At 43.2% G+C, this 18,921-nt stretch overlaps 1 protein-coding gene across 15 annotated transcripts in view, besides 1 other annotated feature; it reads left to right on the plus strand.

Annotated features, from left to right (window-relative positions):
- FOXO3 (forkhead box O3) overlaps window positions 1-18,921 on the plus strand; it is a 124,950-nt gene that overhangs the window by 89,608 nt on the left and 16,421 nt on the right. For 12 of the 15 annotated variants that reach the window (NM_001415146.1, NM_001415140.1, NM_201559.3 and 9 more), the window contains one exon: window positions 14,023-15,457. The exons of 1 other annotated variant lie outside the window; for it this stretch is intronic. In NM_001415146.1, the coding sequence (NP_001402075.1) occupies window positions 14,062-15,423 (1,362 nt within the window). In that variant the 5' untranslated portion in view covers window positions 14,023-14,061 and the 3' untranslated portion in view covers window positions 15,424-15,457. Of the gene's footprint in view, window positions 1-6,892; window positions 7,107-14,022; window positions 15,458-18,921 lie in introns of those variants that run through there. 2 more of the 15 variants (NM_001415145.1, NM_001415144.1) reach the window with 2 other exon arrangements.
- Window positions 14,965-15,165: a silencer, noted in NCBI's record as "peak6015 fragment used in MPRA reporter construct". NCBI's record gives its function as "represses an SCP1 promoter by STARR-seq MPRAs in K562 erythroleukemia cells {active_cell/tissue: K562}" and the evidence as "EXISTENCE:reporter gene assay evidence [ECO:0000049][PMID:32103011]".

The following is an 18,921-nucleotide window of genomic DNA, read 5'->3' on the forward strand; positions in this document are numbered from 1 at the left end:
AAACCCCTGGCAAATTGTTCTCCAAATGGAGATTTGTTAATCTTATAAGTAGCTGATATCCCTAGTTCACCACCACCCTCAGCTTTTTTTTTTTTTTTTTTTTTTTTTTGAGATGGGGGTCTCACTGTGTTGCCCAAGCTGGAATGCAGTGACATGATCTTGGCTCATGGCAACCTCCACTTCCCAGGCTCAAGCCGTTTGTCTGCCTCTGCCTCCTAAAGTGCTGGGATTACAGGTGTGAGCCCTGTGCCTGGCCCCTACTTCCCTTTCTATCCACAAATTAATATCAGGACTCAGCTGTCTTTCTTCAGAAAACTCCTTAGTTTATAGCTGTTTGAAAGGATCTGATGAGCTTGTGTCTAGAGAAACAGCTAACATTCCACATAATGCCTCAGAGAGTTGTGTGTTACTTGACGTTTGTTGTGTGTTACTTTGAACCTGAAAATGGCTCAGAAACATCTGTTTCTTCATATTTGTCCTCCCTTGTCTTGATGTGAAGGGATTACTCTCAATGGCCCCCATATATTTAATGATTTGTTAATCCTTAGGGAAAGACCTAGTACCTGATCGTATTATGAGCCCACACATCGTTCCCATTAGCAAATGAAAAACCTGACTAAAGGGAAAGGGCTGGAAATTTCAGGAGGACCAAGTTAAAGAGTTCCAGAAAGTTTGGGGAGATAATCCAAGGGCTGACCCTGCCAACTCAGACTTAACCAAGGAGGTAGTTATAAGGTCAGGGGTCCTGCATCCTCAGGAATGCCCTTAGAGTCACTGACTGCTAATATGGTGGGACCAGTGAGCCCTGGAGCACAGGGACACGTGCTGGTTGAGGAGTGGGCTCACCCTCCAACTCTCCACCGTATTCTGACCCCTCCCTCTTAGACTCTTCTGTCTCCTCCAGCCACAAGCAGGGTCTAAAAGAACTGTTTCCTACGTTCTTTTAGCCCCTGAGGCACCCAGTTATAGGAATTTTCTATTTCTACTGTGTGTTCAGCTTTTATAGTCTCTTGCATGACTGTCCTTGCCAGTTAATACTATTTCTCCTGCCCTTTGGGTGATAGATATTACACTACTGATGCTTGTATTTCCAGTTTCTTAAGTGCTTTCAAGTTTACCTAGCATGTACATGAAGTAGATTAGAGCCTGCTACAATAAAATACTGCATTTCTGTTATGGCCTTTAGAAAAACTATGATTTTATCTCATGTGCATTCAGTCTGCTTCATTCATCATAGTTTAGGGGTAGTGCTAATAATTAACTTACACATTTGGGAACACCCTAGATTTTAAGTTAGAATACAGGGGTATCTGAGTGGCTCAGTGAATGTTTTTTCAGAAAAATGCAATCAGTGCCTAGTTCTTTAGTTACTGGAAATGTCCTTTCTTTATTTGATCTTTTTTTGTGAACTTTTGAGCTTTCTGATGCTCATCTGTGTGTGTAATTAGCACCCAGGAGTGTCGTGGAATAAATAGTTGACTTGGTCAGCATTTCATAATACCATTATATTGGTCATCAGCCGCTTTTGCATCCTGTGGTTTTGAACAAGAAAAAAAAATCTTGCAAAACCACTATGGTGAAATACTGAATATGCAGATGAGGTATAGGTTAAAGAAGGCAGTCCCTCGGGAGGCTCCTCATTAGAGCTGAATTTCAGTGAGGTGTGGAGGGGACAGAAGATACTATTAGCCCAAGTCATTTTACAGAATTGACTGCATCGTACTCTTTATTTCCGTACAGAAAATATACATCAATTGTTTTGTTTGCAGTAGCCAACATGGGGTATTCTGGTGTGTAGCATTTACTTTCTCTGCTTCTTTCACTGGTAACACCTTGATTTACAGTGACTATTAGGATAATTAACATTGACACTTGGAAGATAGCCTGCTTCCAAATGCATGCACACTTGTCTGTTTTATAAATGCTAACCCAAACTTTTTCCTTTCCTAGCTGAAAAATGTGTCTCCACTCCTTCCAATCTTTCCAGGGTGTGGGCCTGTGCGTAGCTGTGTGACTGTGCCCACACACTGGCATATATTTCAGAGCTACCAAAAAGAAATCAGTTGCTCTTGAAATAACAAGACAAAAAGGAACGGTTTTTCTGAGCCATAACATCTGAAGAGCTAGAAGCAGTTGTGTTTGTATGTGTGACGCTAAAGCCAGTAAATTTCATGTGAAGGAAGGGATTGTAAACTAAGAACAGAAAAGCAGTTTTCCTGGATTTCAGATGTCAAACTCTCAAGCTGTTTAACTCACCCACTCAGCACCTCCACATCCATCCCTGTAATGTGCTTGCATTGTCAGTGATTTGTTTCTGCAGGTTTTGATGCCAGAAGACAAATAATAAAATAGTAGGCATATGTAACCTTAAAGCAGTTTTCTACCAGAGTTTTTGATTGAGGTTAAACAGAAGTATCCTGATCACGTCGTCAGTTGGCAGGCAAAAGGCATCATATTTTAAGATTCACATAGTTTTAGAGCAAGCTCATCTTTTCTGGCTCAATAATAAACTAATTACATGTTTTAAATAGTATAGAGCTGAGTCCCTGTTTCAGATTAAGCCTCATAATAGCAAGGGCCAGGCACTAGCAGACATTTGCTTGATGTTTCTGGCTTGAGGATCCGTAACGTGGTGCCAGCTGTTTTAGGGCCTGAATAGGCCTGCCAGGGACAGCCAGGTGATATTGGCTTGACGTAGTCACAGGCTAATTCTCCCAGAACACAGAAGCCTCCAGACGTGCCACCAAGGAAAGCCTGGATATGTAGAAGTTCAGTTTATGGCTATAGTAATATTTGGGCATTCCCCAAAATAGTGATCCCAGTTCAGGTTAGGACATGATAGTAGTGTCCCTTTGAGGTCTGTCTGAGAAAAGGTGTCATTTCTAAAAAATTAGTGTTAGCAGATGGGCAGATGTGGCTCCAACAAGGCTTGCTTCATGGCTTATCATTTTTCCACATTTTCCATCCCTTTCATAAGCCTAGGGACCACATGCTGAACATTTAATTGAATCACACAGATTTTGTAGTCTTTAAAGCTTCTTATTCCTTGGTCACTTGTTAGTGGTGCCTCCCTCCTTGGTCAGTTTGGTGACTTCAGAAGGAAATACACAGTGCAGTGGTGAGAGCTTCACTTTTGAAGTTAGCCTCAGGCTTGATTTCTAGCACCACCACCCACTAGACAAATTGCTTAACCTTTCTGCACCTCAGTTTCCTCCTGACAGGCTTGTTTAGAAAATAAAATGAGATCAAATTTGTCAAGCACAGAGCATTGGCCCTGGTAGGCACCACATACATGAATTTCCTTCAGATTGTAGGTGAAGTAGACTTGATTTGGGATTTCTCTTGTTACCTAGGTGCTTGTGTAGAGGAGACTTTAGAACCAGAATGTGTTATTTGTGGTTTTGAGTGTGCCTGGGACTCTGAGCCAACTGAATTACCAAGTAATGGGGGCCCCATGGCATCCCATGACAGGTGGAGAGCCGGCTCTTCACCCTGGATGGACCTGAAATGCCTGCTAAGGCCTTGCTCCACCGAGTAGCACACACCCTATCAGTTTGCCCTTCTTTCCATCTCTTATTCTAGAGACCTTAAAGCCTACTTGTTGGTATATATTTTCAGGTTTTTGGAAATTGGGCTGTTTAATTGAAGTTAATACCAGTGATGAGACTTTTCAACCTGAGAACAACCTAGATGCTACTTCACATTTTGCAGTGGAAGCTTACTTCCATCTTCACTCATGTAGGACATTCTTTGGTCTCAATGTTTTATCACATCTCATGTTAAAGTATAATTCAGGTCTATTTTGTGGCTCCTGCCCCCTTCCCATTAATTCAATGGTTAAACAGATACAATTTTTTGACCCCCTACTATGTACCAGGCCCTCTGCCGGGTGCTAAAGCTATAGTAAAACATGGTATCTGGTTTAAAGAGCCAGACTGCACCCTGCATTTTATCTTTGCTATTAGTGTGCTAATCCAGACATTGGTACTAATGTTCTCTTTCTGGGTGGTGGGTTACACCTCAAGGCCAGGTGGTGTGAGTCTGTCTCTGCTCTGTTGACACTTAGGAGCTGATTGGATTCAGGTGTGGCACTGTGCCTCTTTGGTCCTCAGGGTCTGCGACTGTGAAGTTGGGGCTGCCTGTTTCATAGAAAGAGGGTTTCCTGGCCCTCTCCATGTTCCCCAGCTATTGCTATTTTTACTGAGCTTCCTGCCCTGGTTGCTTGTCATATGTCATGAAAGTGATGCTAAATTCTTGGATGTGCTCCTGAGTTCTGGATGCATGTTTCCTATGCCCTTTTATTCGATTTCCACACACAGTAAGTTTTCAAACTGGAAAAAGGTGCAGCCTTATTTTGTTTAAGCTAAGTGAATATTAATAATAAAACTATTTCTGTTCCACTTCATGGCTTTTATAACTTCATGCCTGTTAACTCTTTGAGGCAACCATTTTGTGTGGCTAATTTGAGCATGGTCTTAAAAGAGAATTTCAGTAGCATGTGTTTGCTGAGCACCTTGTGGGAAGGGGAAACAGATTCAATAACATCACAGGAGAAGCTTGGAGAAAGACAACAGGGGCATCCAAATGCTGCAGCTTTAACCTACTTTCTGGGACTGTCATCTCGCTGACTGCACGCCTTTAGATGCTTCTTCCTCAGTCTATGGGGAGAGGGACCTGGGGCTAGAAATAGGAGAGTTTGTGGGGAGGGGCAGGATGCTGCAGGGAGTGGGTGTGGGCAGAGGTTGCAAGACTGCCAGGGTTCTCTGTGTGCCGGAAGTGCAGGTTTGGCTGTGAGGAATGGAATGTTCTCTCTTGCCCTCCAAGAGCACAAACAGCTGTGGAAGAGCTTGAAAAGAAGATTACTAAAAGAAAAAATAATAATAATTAATATGAAAATAAAATCCACCCTAGAAAACCCAACAGAACCGTGTGTGGAGTATAGTGGTAGTCATCTTTTTCATGCTATTTAAGAGAACTTTCTTCCTATCTAGGATTTCTTTTTCAGTTGAGGGCAGGATAAATTGTGTACCCAGCCCTTTCTCCCCTTGGGAAAGCCTCATATGTCTCATTTTGTTTGGATAGAAAATTGATTCATTATTCTGATGACCAGATGATGATTTTATTCTTTTTATGAGGGACCAGAACCTGTCGCTTGCTTGCTGCTTGAAAACTTAAATGTTAGTTTCCAAAGGCCATCTCTGTGGGTAGAGGGTTATCGTCAGCAGTTTAACGGGAAATCTTGTTTCTAACTGGAAATTTAATTATTCAGCCAAGTTCCCAACAATGTTTACTTTAGAGCATCGTCTTTTTTTTTTTTTTTAAGTCCCTTAATGGTTTAAACTTTTAAGCTTTAGGCAAGAGTAGAGTGGAGCTAGATTTACATATCAGGTTGTTTGTGCAATCTTTTACATGAAAGTTTATGTTTTCTTCTCAATCTGAAAATTGGTTTTGGCCATTATAGCTGGTATTATATATGACGTAATAACTCTCTCTGATCTCAGATACATTTTTATGCTGTCATACTTTCTGCACCTGCTTTTGAACAACATCTTAGTCCCAAAGTAGATAAAATCTAGCAGAAGGGAGTAGGCAGCTAAAAACTAGATTCTAGCAATATCTAAGGAAATTACAAGGATCAGTTAGTGTTCCATTCCTTCCTTCTTTGGCTATATCAATTCCTAGTTTTGTGAAAGTCCACATGCCTTCTTTCTGTCCATGCCTGTGCATGCTGGGTGGAGAAGCATCACAGAGCAGAATGAGGTGACTGTCCCCAAGGCAGGGTAAGGTCAAGGATCTTTCCCCTCACCTCATGATTTTCAAAAGAAAAGCAGATCTGGACCTCAGTTACCTAAAATAAAATAAAATTACCCTAGCTCTTATTCTGCACATAAAATCACAGCTTTAATCTCTCATCCCAGTTCTCACCTTTATCTTCTCAATGATGGAAACTTGGACTTAAAGGAAGTTACTGTGCTATGTTACCAGATCTAAGGAGACTGGGAATCATTAGATTGGAATCAGATCCTCAGTCAATGGAAATATAAGGAGGAAAGACCATTGGTTCTTGGCCCTAATTGCACATTAGAATAATCTGGGGAGCTGTAAAAATGTACCTATATCCAGGCCTTACCCCATCTATTGAATCAAAACCTCTGAGACTGGGATGTGAGTGTTTAAAGTCTCCCCAGGTGATTCTAATAGGCGGGGTGAAGAACTACTACTGAAGGGAAATTGAGGGCCTCTTCCAGAGAATTGCCTTTGAAAGATCCTGTCATTATACACCGAAGGCGCCCACCCGGGCCTGCTCCTGAAGCTAGCTGTTTGCAGTGCTCTCCTGTGGCACGCAGACCTCTGGGTCTCCCTGTGAATTGGGGTTCCATTGGGCTGTTCAAAAAACCTTTGTCATCTGTGGTTCAGCAGACGCGTATGTTAGAATTCAGGCATTTGGCAACCTCATTCTGAATTGTCAGTACCCACAAGTCAAGCAGTGAGACCCACTTGAAATGCTGGTCCTGTACACAAAGTGGGTGAGCACTGTATTGAAAGACAGTCCTTTCCAGTGCTTTCCCCTGAAATTCCTTGTAAGGACCAGGAGACGCCTGCAGTCGGCCTGGTGGGAAGTAGTGGGCCTGGCTTTGGAGTTAACCATAACTCATTTTGCTGCTCCAGACAGTCCTCCTCCCACCCCACCCCACCCCACCTCAAAAAAAAAAAGAGAGAGGAGGGGGTTGTCTTTAAAGAAAAAAAAAAAGCAGGGGCTTTTAAGAGTTAAATTACACAACTCGCTTTTTATTTTTAAAGTGAGCAGATTTCTTGTTGTCGTTGCTGAGAAAGATAAATTGATACCACATGTTGCTTCCAGACAAAAACCTCTCTGTGTTCCAGGGGAAGCACATGCAGCTGGTGTCTGGGTGAGTGGACAGTCTCCACAAGGTAAACATGGTTTGGAAGGGCTGAAGCGGACGTAGGGTACAAAATTTAAGAAATTACCAGTTACTTCTGACTGGCACGGCACCTCTGAAATACTTTTTTAAAGTTTGAAATCCTTTCCTGGAAGGGGCCGCCCTGGAACCTTTTGGCTTAAAGTATATGATGCTCGGAAAACAGTAAGTTAACATTTATGATGTCACTGCTTCCGTGTGGGATCTAACAGTTGTTGGGAGCTGCTTTTGTACTTGGCACTTCACTGAGTAGTTTGCATGCAGAGCTTTATTTAATCTTCCCAAAGAGCCAAGAGATAGTCAAAGAATGTTTTTATCCTGCCTGTGGGAATTATCCCCTTTGTAAATTATTGGTGGAATACTTTTCATTTCAGGAAGCTTCTCTCTCACACCTAATCTGATCTGTTTGGGGTCCATGTGTCTTCACAACCAGTTAGCATGTATGTAGAGATCATGGATACTTTAGTATTAGCAATAATTGTATCTTGCAATAGAAAACGGTCTTCATTATAACAAGAAAAATAATTGCCAGATTCTGCTAGGTGCAGTCATCTTTATGCTGATTTATTCAAGGTGGACCAAACAAAGGAATCTCTAGGCAGCAGGACTGTGAAATGTGAATTCCATCATGCTGCCTCCTTCACACACCTATTGCACCTGCCTCCTGGAAGGGTTATGCCACTGATTGCCAGTTCTGTAACTGATTAACTACACCTAACGGGTTTCTGCCCCAGTGCAGGGCTTCCTTCAGTGTAAATTGTTTTGTAAAAGAGAAGATGGACATAAAAATGAAATAAAGAGTATTCTTACCACTGCACTCTCTTTAGACACATTGTGATAGAGGTGTTTTAAGGGTTCTTTAAACCTTTCGGCCCACGTTGGGGACAAGCTGGTACATTTGTCCCTGAAGCTGAAGTTTTTTCCTAGAGATCTTTCTTTCTTGTAATTTCATCAAAATCTTGATTTCTAAGTACTGAATTTAAATCACATGATTTTGGGTTTGGGGGTCATAGTAGCTTCTTAGCTTCTTTAGTGAGTAACTGTGACAATTGCCTGAGCTCTAGCAGTAGGTGTCTTGGTTATTACGTACCTTACTATCTTAGCCTTAAGGAAGGCACATCCCTAGTTCTTCAGCCAGTTACCATTGGCCTGCCTCAAAGGGTATAGCAAAATGTGTATTTAGATGTGATTAGAAAAATCATTCTCGTTCTGTCAAGCCAGTCCTTTTTTATCTTCAGCTCCCAATCCCAAAACTAATGTAAAATGTTAGAAATTTAGACTATTTGGTAAGGTGACATACGAATTAGTGAAAAATCATAGAATATTTGTAATGATAGTTTTCCTGGGATTGAGGTGGCAGGAGGGACATTTGAAATATTACAGAAATTGTATCACCATTAATTTTTGATACCAGGGAAGAAGTGGGGAAACATTGGAGTTCTGGTATTTTATCTGGCATCTATTTATTTACCTTTCCTGCTTTACCAACATTTAAGTAGAGAAGTTAGTACAGTTGAGCCTTGAACAATGTAGGTTTGAATTGCACAGGTCCACTTACATAGAGCTCTTTTTCAACCAAACACAGCATTCCCAGGATGTGAAACCCCCCTCTGGGCCTGGGGGAGTTGGCTCTTACATGTGAGTTTCTTCTGCGGGGCTGACTGTGGAGTGGAGTATGCACAGGTTTAGTTATATGCAGATGGTCCTGGAACCAGTCCCCTGCGTATAACAAGGATTAACTATAATCAGAATCATGACCTGTGAGGAAAACAGAATGTATTTCTGGCATCTGATTTTGAGGGGTAACTGGGCGTTTGAACTGGAAATGGACAGATGAGCCATATTTGTTGGCCTTTGTCAATGCCCTACCTTCAGATTATGGATTTTGTCAATGGAAGGCTGGCCACCCTGTATGAATAGAAGGCTGCTGAGATTGGGGACTGTGAGAATGATGGTGGCACAGTTTTTGTTTGTGTTGACTTAGTAATGTAACTGGAAAAACCTGTCTGAACTTTCTGTAGGTAATAGGCTCCAGGGAATGCATTCTGCCACTAAGAAACCTCTAAACTGAGAGTCAAGCAAAGATTGGCCATTGAAGCTAATCATCTATTTAATAAGTTGGGCTTTGTTTCAGAATCTAAGAGTAGTTAATATTGGGGGTGGGAGGGTTGTGGTTTTTTGTGTGTTTTTTTGAGACGGAATCTCACTCTGTCATCCAGGCTGGAGTGCAGTGGAGATGGGGTTTCGCCACGTTGGCCAGCGTGGTCTCAAACTCCTGATCTCAGGTGATCTATCCCCGCTTGGCCTCCCAAAGTGCTAAGATTACAGGTGTGAGCCACCGTGCCTGGCCAACATTGGTTTGTATGGTATCCACTGTCCTCTTTAGAATGAATGTGATCATGGCCACTTTACTAAAGAAAGACAAGTAAGTCCTATAGAATAAGCTCATACTTTGAGGTTTCCTCTTCTGAAAGACTTTTTTTTGTTTGCTTTTTGGGGTTTTTGTGTTTTTTTGTTTGTTTGTTTTTTGAGATAGGGCTGTGCTCTGTCGCCCAGGCTGGAGTGCAGTGATGAAATCACAGCTCACTGCAGCCTCAGCCTCCCAGGCACAAGTGATCCTCCCACCTCAGCCTCCCCAGTAGCTGTGACTATAGGTACATGCCACCACACCTAGCTAATTTTTGTATTTTTTGTAGAGACAGGGTTTTGCCATGTTGCCCAGGCTGGTCTTGAACTCCTGAGCTCAAGCGATCCGTCTGCCTCAGTGTCCCAAAGTACTGGAATTATAGGCGTCAGGCACTGTGCCTGGCTCAGACTTTGTTTTTAAAATCTTAAAAAAAAATTTTTTTTTAGGAAGGGCCCACCAAATACCCGTAACTATTTCATAAACAAATTAAAATAGTAAGATTGTGCTTTTATATTCCTATTCTTTCTTAAATGTGAAATGATTCTTTAGATAATCTGTTTAACTGTTAGCCCAAGTAGATTAAATGGTGACTTCTGCATAATTTGGTAAGAGGCCTATATGAAAGGTTGTAGAAAAAGCAGTGCATTGGAGTTTAGGAAACCCAGTGTCAGTTTTGGCTCTTGTGAACAGTAGCTGTGGGACCTTGCATTAAGTTATTTAATATCTCTCAGCCTGAGTCTTCTTATATAAAATTAGGGCACTGACATACTAATTCTTGCAGGTTTATTATGAGGATTAGAGACGATGAATCTAAAACACTCTGGCTCAGTAACTGACAGTGCTGTAATCTGGCAGGCACTGTCATCCTTGCAATTAGGGGACCTGGGTGGGTGGGCAGTCTCCATTGTCCTTTCCCACCCGAACACCCTGTGGTTATGGCCCTGGATGTGGGTGTTCCAGCCCCTTTTTACCACATGCCCTTGTAGAAGCTTAATATCTGTGTCCAGATTTTAACCCTGTGTAGCTTTTAATTTTATAAAACTATACGCATACGTTGTTGGAGGTTAGAATTGTGATAGATGGCCATCAGAAAATTTATGTGGGGCATTTTGCAGTTCTATAAGATGTTTCACACTTTTTCTCAGTTGGGTTGGAATTGGTGATGCTAAAGTACATTTTAAAATATTGTTCCCTAAATGCTTTTTAAGGGGGTATAGCTGAATACTTGACTGGTCATTCTAGTTAATTCTGTGTGTTGGTGTGATCTCCTTCCAGAATCTAACGCAGAGGGGGCTGGACAGAGTGGGAGTACTTAGGGTAGGTGTCCACATTTCCATTTAGCCTCGGGACCTCCGTGTTTTTTCACTTAGAAGCTTGAGTTTGTTTTTATTTAATATATCTAGTGACCTGAATTGTAGATCCACCTGTACTTGCCTGCTTTCTGAACACTGCAGAGTACATGTTGAGAGCATGCTTCATACCTATTGCATAGAGAAATTGTTTTACTTTTTAAAGAAGTGTACTATCCGGACCATTAGTAGAGATGCCATTATTCTTTTTAAAAACCGTAAAAGGAATCAGGATATATAGTCTCCTGGGCAACATTTGCCTTATCAGATACTCAGCATGTTGCTTATGTTCTTCTCTCAAACGCAGTTGTAGAAATGCCAACTTATGACCCATGATTGCTAATGCTTATTGCCTATCCTGAACTACAGGCCCTTCCTACATGTGAAGCATAGTATTTTGGATTATTTACTAATGGTAAAATCCTGCTGACATTCTGTGTTTTTAAAACATTCTGGGCTGGGCGTGGTGGCTCATGCCTGTAATCCCAGCACTTGGGTGGGGAGGCCAAGGTGGGCAGATCACTTGATGTCAGGAGTTTGAGACCAGCCTGGCCAACATAGTGAAACCCTGTCTCTAGTTAAAATACAAAAATTAGGCCGGGCATGGTGGCTCATGCCTGTAATCCCAGCACTTTGGGAGGCCGAGGCGGGTGGGTCACGAGGTCAGGAGATCGAGACCATCCTGGCTAACACGATGTAGAGACAGGGTTACTACCACACTTCTCTGTCCCCTGCACTTTGCAACAAGTAGAAACCCAGTCTCTACTAAAAATACAAAAAATTAGCTGGGCATGGTGGCGGGTGCCTGTAGTCCTAGCTACTCGGGAGGCTGAGGCAGGAGAATGGCGTGAACCTGGGAGGCAGAGCTTGCAGTGAGCCGAGATCACGCCACTGCACTCCAACCTGGGCAACAGAGCGAGACTCTATCTCAAATAAAAAAAAGAAAATACGAAAATACAAAAATTAGCCAGGTGTGGTGGCACGCACCTGTAACCCCAGCTACTCGGGAGGCTGAGGTGGGAGAATCACTTGAACCCTGGAGGCGGAGGTTGCAGTGAGCCGAGATCAAGCCATTGCACTCCAGCCTGGGTGACAGAGTGGGACTCTGTCTCGGGCGGCGGGGGGAACATTCTGGTAGAAGCATGTGTTTGTATCTTCTACATGAATACAGTTCGTGATTGCCAATTTAAACAAATATATATATATGTATATATAACTTTTAGGATTGTCCATATTTAATATATGGACAGTAGCATCAGGAGTATCTTTTGTCTTTAACGTGCAAATAAAAACTCATCTGGCCTGCAGGTACTGTTCCGGATGTGGAGCATACAGATTCATCAGCTCCTCCCTTTTACTGCAGGAGGCATTTTACAGATTAGAATGAGCCTGCTGCAGGCCATGAACTCTCTCCACCATGGACTCTGTGTTTTATAATAGCAATAAGAACACCCTGACTTCATAGCATGACTGGCTTCTGAAATATATCATGTGTCACCCTTACATCATCCCTGTACAGAGATGGTTTGGATATGATTATAGCCATAATGAAGGTGGGGAACTGCAGTTGTTGCAGACAAATTAGATTTGTTCAGGGTCACATGGTTGGTCAGTGGCAGAGATAGGACTGAATCTGGGTCATCACTGTCAACTGGGTGTATTTGCCAAGCCAGGAGGAGAATTCTTGCAAGATGGAGTTTTGAGGGTATTTTGCCCTACTTTTTAAGTAAATATTTATTTTAGGATACTTTTAAATTTACAGAAAAGTTGCAGAGATAGTAGAGAGTTCCCATACACCCAATATCAAGTTTCCCCTGTGGTTAACATCTTACAGTATGTGACATTTGTCACAACTGATGAATCAATATGGATATATTATTATTAACTTAAGTTTTTACTTTCTTCAGATTTCTTTCATTTTCACTTAATGTTTTTTTTTGTTCCAGGATTCCATCCAGCATACCATATTACCTTTAGCCGTCATATCTCCTTAGGCTCTTCTAGGCTGTGACTATTTTGAGAAGTACTGACTAGGCATTTTGTAAATGTCCCTTAATTGAAATGTGTCTGATGTCTTTCTCATGCTTAGACTGAGGTTATGGGCTTTGGAAGGCAGACCACAGAAGGTGCCATTCTCATCATGTCATATCAAGGGTACATATTATCAGCTCATCTTATCCTTGTAGATATTGACCCCGATCACCTACTGAAATAGTGTTTGTCAGTTTCTCCACTCTAAAGTTGCTCTTTTCCCCCCTTTTCATACTGTACTCTTTCTAAGGAAGTTACTATGCTCAGCCCACACTAACTTGACAGGCAAGTGTCTATATAAATTATTTGAATTCTTCTGAATGGGAGACTTGCCTACTTCTCTAATCAACCTGGCAAATCCTGCTCTACACTTCTTATGTCTGCAAGAGTTACATGGTAAGGTGTAAAATCTGGCAGGATGAGATGGAGTCATAGAAAGGTTAGGTAAAAATTCTCATCGGTTCTTCATTCACAGAAGTAGTTAAGAAAAGGTAGACGTTGTGCCTCTATACTAGTGGAGGAGGGGACCATGAGAAAATAAAATAGCCCTCCACCAGGTGATTAATTACCCTTAGAGAGCCGGGGAAGTTTGTTGCAAAGTGCAGGGGACAGAGGAGTGTGGTAGTAAATTCCAAGTGTGAACTTCAATATGGGCAATATAATTACAGAAAGGCCAGTAATTAGGGGCCTTTCAATATGGGCAATATAATTACAGAAAGGCCAGGAATTTGAGGAAAACTACTATCAGTGAGCTTATCTATTCCCAGCATCTCTTGGACATGAAATCATCTCCCTTCCCCCTAGATATGAAAACTGCCATTTAACATGTCATTTTATTCTCAAAGAGGGTCATGCATATATGTGTCTTTTTGAATTAGGATGGATTTTTTTTAACCTTTGAAATTGAGGCAGCTTTAAAAAATGAGGAGTTGGCCAGCACGGTGGCTCATGCCTATAATCCTAGCACTTTGGGAGGCCAACGTGGGAGGATCTCTTGAGTCCAGGAGTTTGAGACCAGCCTGGGTAACGTGGAAAACCCCATCTGTACAAAAAATACAACAATTAACTGGGCTTGGTGGCATGCGCCTGTAGTCCCAGTTACAGGTGCTTCAGGATCGCTTCAGCCCAGGAGGTTGAGGCTGCACCACTGCATTCCAGCATGGGCAGCAGAGTGAGACCTTGTCTCAAAAAAATAAAATAAAAAATGAATGAGGAGTCTGATTTACTATATCATCTGGGTGCTCGGTTTTGGACCATTCTGGTTCATACTCTGTATTTTCTTTTCTCCCTGCAGAACTCCATCCGGCACAACCTGTCACTGCATAGTCGATTCATGCGGGTCCAGAATGAGGGAACTGGCAAGAGCTCTTGGTGGATCATCAACCCTGATGGGGGGAAGAGCGGAAAAGCCCCCCGGCGGCGGGCTGTCTCCATGGACAATAGCAACAAGTATACCAAGAGCCGTGGCCGCGCAGCCAAGAAGAAGGCAGCCCTGCAGACAGCCCCCGAATCAGCTGACGACAGTCCCTCCCAGCTCTCCAAGTGGCCTGGCAGCCCCACGTCACGCAGCAGTGATGAGCTGGATGCGTGGACGGACTTCCGTTCACGCACCAATTCTAACGCCAGCACAGTCAGTGGCCGCCTGTCGCCCATCATGGCAAGCACAGAGTTGGATGAAGTCCAGGACGATGATGCGCCTCTCTCGCCCATGCTCTACAGCAGCTCAGCCAGCCTGTCACCTTCAGTAAGCAAGCCGTGCACGGTGGAACTGCCACGGCTGACTGATATGGCAGGCACCATGAATCTGAATGATGGGCTGACTGAAAACCTCATGGACGACCTGCTGGATAACATCACGCTCCCGCCATCCCAGCCATCGCCCACTGGGGGACTCATGCAGCGGAGCTCTAGCTTCCCGTATACCACCAAGGGCTCGGGCCTGGGCTCCCCAACCAGCTCCTTTAACAGCACGGTGTTCGGACCTTCATCTCTGAACTCCCTACGCCAGTCTCCCATGCAGACCATCCAAGAGAACAAGCCAGCTACCTTCTCTTCCATGTCACACTATGGTAACCAGACACTCCAGGACCTGCTCACTTCGGACTCACTTAGCCACAGCGATGTCATGATGACACAGTCGGACCCCTTGATGTCTCAGGCCAGCACCGCTGTGTCTGCCCAGAATTCCCGCCGGAACGTGATGCTTCGCAATGATCCGATGATGTCCTTTGCTGCCCAGCCTAACCAGGGAAGTTTGGTCAATCAGAACTTGCTCCACCACCAGCACCAAACCCAGGGCGCTCTTGGTGGCAGCCGTGCCTTGTCGAATTCTGTCAGCAACATGGGCTTGAGTGAGTCCAGCAGCCTTGGGTCAGCCAAACACCAGCAGCAGTCTCCTGTCAGCCAGTCTATGCAAACCCTCTCGGACTCTCTCTCAGGCTCCTCCTTGTACTCAACTAGTGCAAACCTGCCCGTCATGGGCCATGAGAAGTTCCCCAGCGACTTGGACCTGGACATGTTCAATGGGAGCTTGGAATGTGACATGGAGTCCATTATCCGTAGTGAACTCATGGATGCTGATGGGTTGGATTTTAACTTTGATTCCCTCATCTCCACACAGAATGTTGTTGGTTTGAACGTGGGGAACTTCACTGGTGCTAAGCAGGCCTCATCTCAGAGCTGGGTGCCAGGCTGAAGGATCACTGAGGAAGGGGAAGTGGGCAAAGCAGGTCAGTGCCGAATGCTATGGCATAAAAATAACAATATGGGGATGAGGGGGGATCTCTGGGGGAGCCTGTCTTCTCTTTACTTTGAACTTTATTCCACACTGAAAACCATGGAGCAGTGGTGCACATAATATGGCTCCCAGCCAGTTCCATCTCAGGGTTTTACCTGCAAACCAAATAGGGCTGTCAGGTGCCCCCCTTCCCCCGCACAGTTTGCTGATAGTTCAGAAATCTACTGCTCGTGAAGAGAACACGTACGCATTCAGAGATCGCATTCTTTTTTTGCATCCAGTTGTCCTCACTGGCCTGTGACGCAGGTTGCCCTACTTGATGGATGGATGAGAAGAGAAGGAGAGGGATGGGAAGCTTGGGTCGTACTTCAGGGTTAAGGATCCCAGCCAAAGGGCTTTCCTAGAAAGACTCTCTGGTCCGTCACCGCTTTTGTCAATCTTCAGTGTTACATGTTCTTCATCTTTTTTTCCTTGTAAAGTAATGATCGGCAGGTACTTCTAATTTGCCTGCAGAATATGTATTCTAGACTCTTTCATATATGAATATTTCTAACAGAAGCAAAATCTGTTAATTATTCTTTATCTTAGTACTAAGCATCTTTATTAGCTAGCACTCAAGAGCTAAACCTTTAAAAAAGTAAGAGGCCAGGCACAGTGTCTCACGCCTATAATCCCACAACTATGGGAGACTGAAGCAGGAATTGCTTGAGGCTAGGAGTCAGAGACCAGCATGGGCAACATAGCAAGACTCTGTCTCTACAGAAAACTTAAAAAATTAGCTGGGTGTGGTGACACATACCTGTAGCCCCTGCTTCTCAGGAGAATCCCTTGTGCCCAGGAGTTTGAGGCTGCAGTGAGTCATGATCGTGCCACTGCACTCCATCCTGGGTGGTAAAGCAAGAACCTATCTCTTAGAAAAAAAAAAAAAAAAAGCCAAAAAATTAATTTGAAAACACAGGTGTTTGTATGAGGGAGTACTTACTCGTGTGCTTCTGCTTGTTCACCAAACTATAAATGATATCAGCAGTTTCCAAACATAGAGTGACACAGGTTGTGAATGGTGATGGAGATTTTTTCAATTGTGGCATTTTAATGTTCTCAGAACCACAAAGATCAGGCAGTGTGATGTAAGAAAAAGCATTTGATTGAAATCAGGAATTGAGGTTCAGGCCCACTTCTACCACTTTCTTGCTACCACTATGGTTGTGTCTTAGGTCTCTGAGTCTCAACTTCCAGTTTTATAAAATGAGGATAATAGCCCCCATTACTTCACAGGGTTATTACAAGAATCAAATGCACTAAAGCATGTGAAACTGCAGTAGGCTGAAATATGTACCATGCAACTAGGTATACTGACAAATGGGCAAGCAGGTAGCCCAGAGAGGTTAAGTAGTTTGCCCAAGGTTACAGAGCTAGGTTGATTTCTTTTTTTTTCTTTTTCTTTTTCTTTTTTTTTGAGATGGAGTCTTGCTCTGTCTCCCAGGCTGGAGTACAGTGGCGCGATCTCGGCTCACTGCAAGCTCCACCTTCCAGGTTCACGCCATTCTCCTGCCTCAGCCTCCTGAGTAGCTGGGACTACAGGCGCCCGCCACCACGCCTGGCTAATTTTTTTTTTTTTTTAATTTTTAGTAGAGATGGGGTTTCACTGTGTTCACCAGGATGGTCTCGATCTCCTGACCTTGTGATCCGCCCGCCTCAGCCTCCCAAAGTGCTGGGATTACAGGCGTGAGCCACCGTGCCCGGCCTAGATTCATTTCTTAAATGGCTTGAACCCCCATAGTAGTTCTTCCTTATTCTCTCTAGCTGGTTAGAAAAAAAGCGGGGAGGGGAGGGAAGTGCCCTGAACTGGAGTCAAAGTAGCAGATGATAGACAAGCTTTCCCTAAAAACTCTCCTCCTCAAGAAGTAAGATGAACACTGGGATCTTCTACCAACAGGTTTGCACCCCTAGCCACCTCGATGTTAACAGGTTCTGTTCCGTGCCCCAGCCCTTTTGCTTTGTTTTGTTTTAGTCTCAGCAAGCTACTTACAGGCTTCTTTAAGTGGTGTAAAAAGCAAGGGAATTCAAAGCTGTAAAAACTTGAGCCTTGTTTAACCCTCTGCCATGATGAAGGACTTAACAAGGGTCTCCTATGGTGAGCTCACTCCAGCTCACGGGTGGTTGCAGAAAGGGGAATGTTAAGAGTGTTGTGATGCTAAAGCCTCTCAACTTTCTCAGGCCTAAGAGACCCCTAATGGAACTCAGATATCTGATTTCAGTCATTTAATAGCCCTTGAGATGGTGAAAAGACTGTAATGGAAGCTAAGTAGGGTGGTAGTACTTCCATGCCAGCCAGCTCAGTTCCATACCAGAACTTGGGCTAGTGGAGATTTGACTTCAGAAATGTAGATATTTGGCCTTTAGAAGACTAGTTTGTCTTCCTTTAAGGAGAAGAATATGGAAGATTTGTCTTTAGAAATGTAGATGTTTGGCTTTTAAAAGAATAAATGGTTTGTCTTCCTTTAAAAATAGGCTTTTAAAGACACAAGTAAGTTTTAATTTGAGTGTAATTGTAAGGAGGCCACTTTCTAGTTCGTTGGAAAATATGTGTTCAGAAGACAATGTAGTATCAGTTTTTGTCTGATTTTTCAAGTGTTGGTTTCCCTTTTGGTTGAACAGCAGATCTTTCTCGTATATGTGTAATTCTAAAGGATTGTACAGAAAATTAAGGGAGATCTAAATACTTAGATTTTTAAAGTTTATCTGGTGAACTCTGATTTTGGTGATGATAATAAATGACTGCATTGAGGATAATGCATTTCATTGTTATATCCTAATGAAGCTTTAGGGTCATCTTCGCCTCAGAATATTTTGGGGGAGGTTGTTTTGAGAAGATAACTTCTTCAGCTAAAAATGAAAAGTCACCAAATTTTCCTGAAAGTAGACTAGCTCAGTATGACCACAGAGCATTTAAAGAACCATCCAAAGGACAGTGGGGGCTGTGAGGGGATCTAGTTTCTGGTTTAGGATTTCCATTTTTGCTTAGAATCCATTGTTCTTTCAGCAGCCAGGAGCACATGCAACCTGAAGTGTATTTTTTACTTTAAAACTTAACTGTGACTGTCACTTCATTGAAGACTCTCCTAAATTCACAGAACGAGGCTGAGGTCAGACTCTGACACCCTGCTTCTCTCAAATTAACTGTCCCAGCTTCCCAAGAGTTGCTCTCTAATAACTTTCTTGGTTTAACTTCTTAGTGTTTCTCCAGACTGAATTCCTGGCTTGCTCACAGAAGAAGGTCATGTGATGCTGAATCTGAGCCGCCTTGTGTTAATGGAGCGGTCTGCTCAGTTGACAGGCAGTCTTGCTGGGGAGCTGCAGCAAGATGCTTCTCTGGCGGGCTGGGTGTTTCACACGTCATTCATTTTAGACCACGTGTAGAATTCTTTGACCCTTAGGTCTATCTGGAAAAGAAAA

Source organism: Homo sapiens, chromosome 6 (genome assembly GCF_000001405.40).
Source record: "Homo sapiens chromosome 6, GRCh38.p14 Primary Assembly".
Lineage (NCBI taxonomy): Eukaryota > Metazoa > Chordata > Mammalia > Primates > Hominidae > Homo > Homo sapiens.